This window comes from Homo sapiens, chromosome 2 (assembly GCF_000001405.40).
Source record: "Homo sapiens chromosome 2, GRCh38.p14 Primary Assembly".
Taxonomy (NCBI): domain Eukaryota; kingdom Metazoa; phylum Chordata; class Mammalia; order Primates; family Hominidae; genus Homo; species Homo sapiens.
The window spans coordinates 60,921,259-60,931,612 of NC_000002.12; the positions used below are offsets into that span (position 1 = coordinate 60,921,259).

Below are 10,354 nucleotides of genomic sequence, written 5' to 3' on the forward strand. Positions count from 1 at the left end.
TAATTTTTTTCTGACTGTGAATTTTATAGTCTCTTAGGGTTCTGTTGTAATATATCTTAAAAGTTATGTGTATTTTCTTATCCCTAATGAGTGTTGTCTCCATCCTTCCATTTTCTCCTAAAAGTGAAGAGTAAGAGATGATTTTGGCTATTTGGAATCCCATTAATTGTAATTCTAATATTTATCTTTTAGTTTTCAAAAATACCTTTATAGAGCCTCAGAAACTAGATTTTCATATTTAATTGAAGTGAAATTACATATGCCAAAGTAACTTGCCAAAATCATTTTACCTGTATTTGTAAAATGGTATATACGTTACAGAATTTCATTTTGGATTCGTGTAATAATTTTAGTGCTTTTTACATTTTTTTATTTGAAATGTTACATTGGTTTCCTTGACATTTTTCTTTATATATATTTGTGTGCTTATGCAATTTTAATTTAGAAATGCTTTTTATAATTTTGTTCATTTTAATTTCGTAAAATAAATTTTTCCTCCCACAGAACCAAACTTGTTTTCTCATGATGCAGTTGTGAGAGAAATGCCTACAGGGGTTTCAAGTCAAGCAGAATCCTACTATCCCTCACCTGGGCCCATCTCAAGTGGATTGTCACATCATGCCTCAATGGCACCTCTGCCTTCTTCAAGCTGGTCATCAGTGGCCCACCCCACCCCACGCTCAGGCAATACAAACCCACTGAGTAGTTTTTCAACAAGGACACTTCCTTCTAATTCGCAAGGTATCCCACCATTCCTGAGAATACCTGTTGGGAATGATTTAAATGCTTCTAATGCTTGCATTTACAACAATGCCGATGACATAGTCGGAATGGAAGCGTCATCCATGCCATCAGCAGATTTATATGGTATTTCTGATCCCAACATGCTGTCTAATTGTTCTGTGAATATGATGACAACCAGCAGTGACAGCATGGGAGAGACTGATAATCCAAGACTTCTGAGCATGAATCTTGAAAACCCCTCATGTAATTCAGTGTTAGACCCAAGAGACTTGAGACAGCTCCATCAGATGTCCTCTTCCAGTATGTCAGCAGGCGCCAATTCCAATACTACTGTTTTTGTTTCACAATCAGATGCATTTGAGGGATCTGACTTCAGTTGTGCAGATAACAGCATGATAAATGAGTCGGGACCATCAAACAGTACTAATCCAAACAGTCATGGTTTTGTTCAAGATAGTCAGTATTCAGGTATTGGCAGTATGCAAAATGAGCAATTGAGTGACTCCTTTCCATATGAATTTTTTCAAGTATAACTTGCAAGATTTAAATCCTTTTAAATCTTGATACCACCTATATAGATGCAGCATTTTGTATTTGTCTAACTGGGGATATAATACTATATTTATACTGTATATATAATACTGACTGAGAATATAATACTGTATTTGAGAATATAAAAAACTTTTTTCAGGGAAGAAGCATACAACTTTGGACATAGCGAATACAAAATTGGAAGCTGTCATAAAAAGACAACTCAGAGGCCAGGCGCAGGGGCTCACACCTGTAATCCTAGCACTTTGGGAGGCCAAGGCGGGTGGATCACTTGAGACCAGGAATTCGAGACCAGCCTGGCCAACATGGTGAAACCCCGTCTCTACTAAAAATACAAAAATTAGCTGAGCATGGTGGTACGTGCCTGTACTGTCAGCTACTTGGGAGGCTGAGGCACAATAATTGTTTGAACCCAGGAAGCAGAGGTTGCAGTGAGCTGAGATCACACCACCGCACTCCAGCCTGGGTGACAGAGTGAGACTCTGTCTCAAAAAAAAAAAAACAAAAAAAACACACTTTTTTATATTTCTTTTTATAATGTTTTAATGTATTCTTAAATTTCAAGCAAATTTAAGATAAAACTTGTAATGGCTATGCCATTGAAAAACTTAATTTTTTATTTTTGAGGCCCATGGGCCAAGGTAACCCCTAAGGGGTTTTCTTAGGCTTCTTGGAGCTTAGATTTGTATGTATATCAAAATGTCTTTAAAATGTTAAGTTGGGCAGAAGGCAGTTGAAGTGAGCTTTCAAGGTATGGGAGGTTTTCTACATTTTATACTATTTCAATCTATGCCTTTAAAGTTGCTTATGATTTTAGCTGTACACTCATTTTTTAAGGGGAAGAAGTTTCCTTGGACCATTCGCCTTTCTTAGATGTCCTCACTCCCTGTGATCTCATAAAACTGCCTATTTGACATCTCTATCTAGAAATCTAATTAAAGCTCACACTCAGCATATCCAAAACTGAATTCTTGGTCTTCCCTCCCAAACTTGCTTCTCCTTCAGTCTTCTCCAACTCAGTAAATGGCAATGCCATACTTCTGGTTGCTCAGGCCAAAAACCCTGAAGTCATCCTTGATTCTTCTTTTAGCACCCATATCCAATCCATTAGCAAATCTGGTAGACCCTACCTTCACAATATATCTAAAGCTGACCACCTCTTTTGACCTCTACTATTAACGCCCTATTCCAAGCCACCATCATCTCTTCCCTGGATTGAAGCTGTCATCTACAAAAATTCTTCTTATATCCTTGCATTCCTACAGTCTGTTCCCCATAAAGTAGCCAGAATGATTATTTTTAAAACAAGTCAACTCATACCATTCATCTGCTCAAAACCATTCATTGGCTTCTCATCTCACTCAGAGCAGTCAAAGTCCTTAAAAGTTGCAGGCCTAGACTCCCTGTCCTACCTCAGGTACCACCATATCCCACCTCCTCATGCAGCTCCAGGCACCTTGGCCTCAGTGCTCCTCAAAGCATCAAGTATGCACTTGCCTTGGACAGTCTGTACTTGGTATTCCCTCTGCCTTGAATGTTGTTCTCCCAGAAAAATGCATAGTTCACTCTTACATCCTTCAGGTGTCACTCCACTGTTACCTGAGCAGGTCGTCCTTGAATATATACATCAGCATTCCCTTTCCCCCCTGCTTTATGTATGTCCATAGCACTCACCACGATCTGACTTTACTAAGTATTTATTCATTTACTGTTTGTTTTCCCATACCGAAATATAAACTTTCTAAGGACAGAAATTTTTGTGCTTTATTGTTGAATCTCCAATTTGTAGAAAAATGCCTACCTTATATTAAACACTCAGTAAATGTTTATTGAACATTAAAAGTATTACTAATAGAACTTTGGTTTTTGAAAGAAATAATAACTTTAATTATAAGACGTATATGATTTTTGCAGTTTTACTTAGTGTGACATTGGGTTTATGAGAATCGTGTACATTCAAGTCCAGGAATAATAATGGTCATCCAAATTGTTTGAAAGGAAAATAATCCCAGTGGCAAAATGATGGTAGAATTTGGGTAATCTTTTTTTTCCTTTTATGAAAAGAGATTTTATTGAAGGTAAAACATTAGAGGTTCATTGAGAATCTCTAAATCCATGTTTTGACATTGTCAAGCTCATTGCAACTTCCAGATTGAGTAACACTTATAACACATTTCCTTTTCAAAGTGCAAGATTTTTAAAAGAGACTTGTCACATATTCATTTGGCTGGTTTCAAATGGTGAGCTGAATGCTGGGTAATCTCTACTAGCTCCTTAATCAGATTTAAAATTCTCAGTGTTTCCTAGTTGTTTCTGCATACTTTATGTGAGTTGTTATAGCTGTAACATTACACTTTATTTGCTGTTTGTGTTTCGTGACTTTTGGTAATTCTGGCATTTAGAAACCTTTCACTTTGCTTCAAAACGTAGTTATATTTTGGAGTTTTCATTTGATATATAATTATTTATTTTGCCCTTTTATTTCCCAAAGACATTGTAAGGGTTAATTAGATCATTATATTTTATTATTACAGATTAAAGTTGGGCAGTAATCTTAATTATGATGGAATTATCATTATGCTAAGTAATTAACTTTACCTAGTTTGTTTTACAACTAGAACCTGCCCTAAATGTTGAATATCTTCCTAGCAAGAAACAGTCTGTCATTTTACTTACACGATGTCTAACCAAACCATAACTTTACATAAACTAGTCGTTTCGGTCAAATAGAAAAATGTGTGAATGCCATAAAAACAAAAATTCTCAGTTAAATGATACTGGGAAATAGGGAAGACAGCAAAGTGAGACTTGGGCTCAGGATGGTTCAGGAAGAAAAAAAAAGAAAGACCCCTGAGTACCATTAATATTCCTCAGAAATTATTATTTCAAAAGGAAATATTTCTGTATTATAAATTTTTCATGAGCAGCCATTATGAAATCTCACAAGAATCATAGAATTCAATAAAAAAGGTAGAAAGTAATTTTTTTACTTAAAAATATAAATTAAAATAAATTTTTAAAATCATAAGCACATAAATAGAACTTACCAGGGAGAAAGAAAAACCTGAAGGCACAATTTCTTTTCTGTTCAAAATGTGAACCCAGGATGTCTCTAGATGATGATGGATGATAGGTGGGGAGATTTTTTTTTTTTTTAATACAGAATCTCATAGTTTTGGATTAATTAGCACCAATCAGTTTAAACACTGACTGTTAGAATAGCTGCATGGGTTTTTTTCTTTAAACTAATTAAGCGTTGGCTACTTAGTATAAGTAAGTATAAGCCGAATTAAGGTTCTGCTACATCTGTGTTTAGAATATTTTTTTAAAACTAAATAAGTGTTGGCTAGTTTTGCGGTGTAAGCAGAATTAAGGTTCTGCTACCTCTGTGTGTAGAATATTCCCAATGGATTTTTCATTTTTCAGGTGCTATTTTTTGACCCTGTATAGACTTTAATTTAAAATGAATTTGGTAACGTTTCTCCTCTGTCTCTACATATATTCATGCTTTCACCTGCTCTTTTAACACCTGCTTTTAGTATCTGAGGCACTTTTTCTGAACTCTACTTGTGCACTGGATCCCTCCTCCTTTCTCTGCCAGGCTGTGTTTACTTTATCCTTACATCACCACTTAGTGATTCCTTTCTTTGTATAAACATGGTAAATGTCTTCATTAGCCTAAAAGGAAAGACCAAATAAAACCTTTCCTACCACTTGGATGCATTTGCATCCTGACTTCTGAAATGCCTCCAGCCTCCATTTTCTCCCTTCCCAGTTATTCCTTAGCCCAGCCATCTCTGTCTTTAGCTCCTACAATTTTCTTAGGATATTCTGGGAAAGATGAGCGGAGACTGCCCGCCTTGTCAAATCTAGTGTCTTTTTTTCAGTCCTCACACTGCTTGACCTATGTATAACCTCCTATACTTCCCTCTTTGCATACTCCTCTGGGTTTTCTGTGGTAGTCAAGATTCCTCCCTGAGATTTATTTCCCATGAGTCTTGACCCCTCCCCTCAGTTGGTGCTATTTCCCCCTACCCGCCCTCCGATGATCTTATCAGAGCCCACAGGTTCAGTTTTCTTTCATGCTACCTGAATGTCCTGATAAACTGGCTCGCTCTCTTCTTTACCTTCCATAATGGCATTACCATTTACCACGCCACCCAAGATACTTACTAGGAACCTCAAAGTATTGTATTCTTTTTCTCCATCACACTCATACTTAATCATCAAGTCCTTTTGAGCTTGTCTCCTCTTGAATATGTCCCTTCTTAATTCCTGCTGCCTTCTTAGTAAAGGCCTTCATTCTTTTTTCCCTAGTAATAATCTTTTCCATATGTTCCAGTTAAAATACCATGTTCTCCCTATTCCTTATTACATAGCTAGCATTCCTTGAAAAAAAACAATTCTCTCAGGCCTCCATACCTTTAGCATGTTACCCACTCTGCCTCTGCTCTTCTGGAACTAGAACACTCATCCTTGAAGGCTGGGCTTCTGTATGAAGGTTGGTCCTGCCTCCTTACTTGAGGTGAAGCTTTGTACATGCCTGTATTACGGACATCCTCTTATTTAAGTGTTTGTCTCTTTCGTCATTGGGACTCCAGCACCCAGCATAGTCCCTAGTATACTAGTTGGTGCTGAATAAATAGTAGCTATTATTAGAAAAGGAAGGGTGAAATTGACATGGGAGTTAGTAAAATGTATATGGAAATGATTTTTAAAGGGAAAGGTAATGATTTTCTGGCAGGAAAAGCAGCAATGACAAGATTACTTAAGTCTTGTGAAATAACACTTCTCTTCCTTGACCTGCTGCTTCCCTTTTTTACCACACACACACGCACACATACCACAGCCCTTTGAGACTGAAAGCAGCTCTATTGAGAATAGTAGTGTCAACTGTATTATGTAGAAATTCTAAAGTTTTTGGGATTATTTCATAGCCCTGACCTTGCTACTTCTCTCCACTTTATGTGGCAGGTTTAATCTCAGGTCTCCCTCATACACTTCTCAGCCTCAGCACCTAACCCTCACACAACACTCCAGTATTGATGCAGTCAATCTTGTATAACATTTTTTGAATGTCCAATGTGCAAAGCACGATGTTGGAAATTATACAGAGGTGAATAAGACAAAAACTCTTGCTCTCAAAGATGTCAGTCTTTTTCTTTGCAAGGATAACACATGTAGAGTAAAATGCATAAAGGGGACTAATTTTAAATGTACAGCTTAATTAATTTTTATGTATGTTAACACCCATGTCACCACCATGTTTAGGACATTTCCAGCACCCCTGAAATTTCCTTCATGCCCCTTCCCAGTCTGTACCTACACCTCTAAATCTATTTTCAATCTTAATGGCCTTTTAAATAACTGGGCTTCTCACAACCATAGTGAACAGAAACAGCTGGGTTGTCAACGTCTAACCTAATACTTCAGGAAAACTCATGATGGTTTCCATGTTAAGAGAGACATGGAGCAGGGCACTGGCATGGTGGATGGATCACGCCTGTAATCCCAGCACTTTGGGAGGCCGAGGTAGGGGGATTGCTTGAGCCCAGGAGTTCAAGACTAGCCTGGGTAATATAAGGAAAACCTGTCTCTGCAAAAAAAAAAAAAAAAAGAGGATACAACCAAATGGAAGAACATTCCATGCTCATGGGTAGGAAGAATCAATATCGTGAAAATGGCCATACTGCCCAAGGTAATTTACAGATTCAGTGCCATCCCCATCAAGCTACCAATGCCTTTCTTCACAGAATTGGAAAAAACTACTTTAAAGTTCATATGGAACCAAAAAAGAGCCCATATCGCCAAGTCAATCCTAAGCCAAAAGAACAAAGCTGGAGGCATCACACTACCTGACTTCAAACTATACTACAAGGCTACAGTAACCAAAACAGCATGGTACTGGTACCAAAACAGAGATATAGATCACTGGAACAGAACAGAGCCCTCAGAAATAACGCCGCATATCTACAACTATCTGATCTTTGACAAACCTGAGAAAAACAAGCAATGGGGAAAGGATTCCCTATTTAATAAATGGTGCTGGGAAAACTGGCTAGCCATATGTAGAAAGCTGAAACTGGATCCCTTCCTTACACCTTATACAAAAATCAATTCAAGATGGATTAAAGACTTAAACGTTAGACCTAAAACCATAAAAACCCTAGAAGAAAACCTAGGCATTACCATTCAGGACATAGGCATGGGCAAGGACTTCATGTCTAAAACACCAAAAGCAATGGCAACAAAAGCCAAAATTGACAAATGGGATCTAATTAAACTAAAGAGCTGCTGCACAGCAAAAGAAACTACCATCAGAGTGAACAGGCAACCTACAAAATGGGAGAAAATTTTCGCAACCTACTTATCTGACAAAGGGCTAATATCCAGAATCTACAATGAACTCAAACAAATTTACAAGAAAAAAACAACCCCATCAAAAAGTGGGCGAAGGACATGAACAGACACTTCTCAAAAGAAGACATTTATGCAGCCAAAAAACACATGAAAAAATGCTCATCATGACTGGCCATCAGAGAAATGCAAATCAAAACCACAATGAGATACCATCTCACACCAGTTAGAATGGCAATCATTAAAAAGTCAGGAGACAACAGGTGCTGGAGAGGATGTGGAGAAATAGGAACACTTTTACACTGTTGGTGGGACTGTAAACTAGTTCAACCATTGTGGAAGTCAGTGTGGCGATTCCTCAGGGATGTAGAACTGGAAATACCGTTTGACCCAGCCATCCCATTACTGGGTATATACCCAAAGGACTATAAATCATGCTGCTATAAAGACACATGCACACGTATGTTTATTGCGGCATTATTCACAATAGCAAAGACTTGGAACCAACCCAAATGTCCAACAATGATAGACTGGATTAAGAAAATGTGGCACATATACACCATGGAATACTATGCAGCCATAAAAAATGATGAATTCATGTCCTTTGTAGGGACATGGATGAAATTGGAAAACATCATTCTCAGTAAACTATCGCAAGAACAAGAAACCAAACACCACATATTCTCACTCATAGGTGGGAATTGAACAATGAGAACACATGGACACAGGAAGGGGAATATCACACTGGGGACTGTTGTGGGGTGGGGGGAGGGGGGAGGGATAGCATTGGGAGATATACCTAATGCTAGATGACGAGTTAGTGGGTGCAGTGCACCAGCATGGCACATGTATACATATGTAAGTAACCTGCACAATGTGCACATGTACCCTAAAGCTTAAAGTATAATAAAAAATAAATAAATAAATAAATAAGAAAAAGAAAGCCAGGCATGGTGACATGTGCCTGTGGTCCCAGCTATTAGGGAGGCTGAGGTGGGAGGATCCCTTGAACCCAGGAGGTTGAGTCTGTAGTGAGCAGTGATTACGCCACTGCACTCCAGCCTGGGCAAGACCCTGTCTCAAAAAAAAAAAAGACTTAGAATTGGTGATCCAGGCCGCCTAATGGCATCAAATAATTTGTTATATCTTTAATTTATTGAAGGATCACCACATGCTTTTAAATAGCATGGAGAAATGGAAAGAATAGGGACTTTTTACTCAGGTAATACCCAGCCTGCTACCTAACAGGTTGTGTTGTACTAAATAAAATGGTACATAAGAAGAAACACTGTAAATTATATAGTGCGAATCAAATATTGTTAATAAACCAATATCTGTATATCCTATGTCCCGGATTAATCTTTAATTTAGATACTCCTTCTAGTTATCTAATACACAGCAGAGTGAGAAAAATCATTATGGATTAGGTTCTTTAGTAAGAAACCTGAGATGGACTTCTCATTAGCATTAACTAGTTATTGCCCAGCTTTGGAGAGCCTTCTTTTGGCTTATCATTTATTATAAGCCCAGAAATAGGTGACTAATCAGAGATAAATGTATGGGTTGTCTGTATCTAGTTTTATGCCTTTTTTTTGCCTAAGACGTAGTCAAATTAATATTTTAACTAATACATCTTAGCAGAGTTTAGTTAAGCACAAAGTTAACAGTGGGTAGGATTGAATCTTGAAAGTAATCATGTCTGTAATGTTTTTCATGCATGCAAAAAGCACAGACAAAACCACTCATGCCCTATTAATAAACAAAATACAGATCAAAGTTTTCAAAAGTAATCACTCTATTTATTCTAAATGTCTGTGGCTTTAGGAAAATACCACCAGCTAGTACTTACCTATTTAAAGATGTAGAATTTATTATCCTCTAATATTCTTATCAGTTGTTTCCACAACTTTAGTTTACTATTGGACTTTCAAAAATTTAAAGAATTACAAGTAAAATTCATTAAACACTTGTGTGTGAATAGTAATACACAGTAATTAGTACAGCATGTTGCTTCTTCAACAAATTGAGTTTTCAGGGAAATCAGCAAGTAAATGAAATATAAATTTTTGGTAAAAGTATCAAACATTCATCTTGCCCATTTTTCCTCTTAAACTTTATTATCTAATCAAACATAGTTTTCCATAAGATGTAATAAAATATAGATAAGGTTGGAATATTTGAGGATCCATTTGTGGAACTGAATTTAATGAGACTTCATTGGTGATACACTCAATTTTTACTGGGTAATTAGCTAATAATGTTGGTCACTGTCTCACAGTTCAAGTAGCTTTAAGATGATGTGGCAAGGAAAACACAAAGCTTTTGGGTAACCAGCGTTCTTAAATGTATGGTTTTTGACCAGGTGAACCCTTTAGAAGTGATTTCTGTTTTAAAAGTATGTACTTAAAATACCTTTGGCTGTGATGAATGTAGATCCCAGCAGAATACCAAAATCCTATTTTTTTTGACTGAGTATTTGTAGATGCTTAATGACTGAAATGAATTTGGAGGCACTGATGAAAGTGATTTTTTTAAAGTTCTCAGGTACTGTTCAATTATTTAATGTTAAGTTTAGTATCAAGATACAGTTGTTTTTAAAATGCCAAAATGCTGTTTATTATACAGAATATTTTATTACATTTGCAATATCTTTGTATATAGTGATTTTTTTCTTGATAATAAATGGAAAAATTCTAAAACA

At 36.8% G+C, this 10,354-nt stretch overlaps 1 protein-coding gene across 4 annotated transcripts in view; it reads left to right on the forward strand.

Annotated features, from left to right (window-relative positions):
- The window catches only part of REL (REL proto-oncogene, NF-kB subunit), a 50,039-nt gene extending 39,685 nt beyond the window's left edge, over window positions 1–10,354 (forward strand). For all 4 annotated transcript variants that reach the window (NM_002908.4, NM_001291746.2, NM_001438025.1 and 1 more), the window contains one exon: window positions 505–10,354. In NM_002908.4, coding sequence (NP_002899.1) covers window positions 505–1,277 — 773 coding nt within the window. In that variant the 3' untranslated portion in view covers window positions 1,278–10,354. The remainder of the gene's footprint in view (window positions 1–504) is intronic.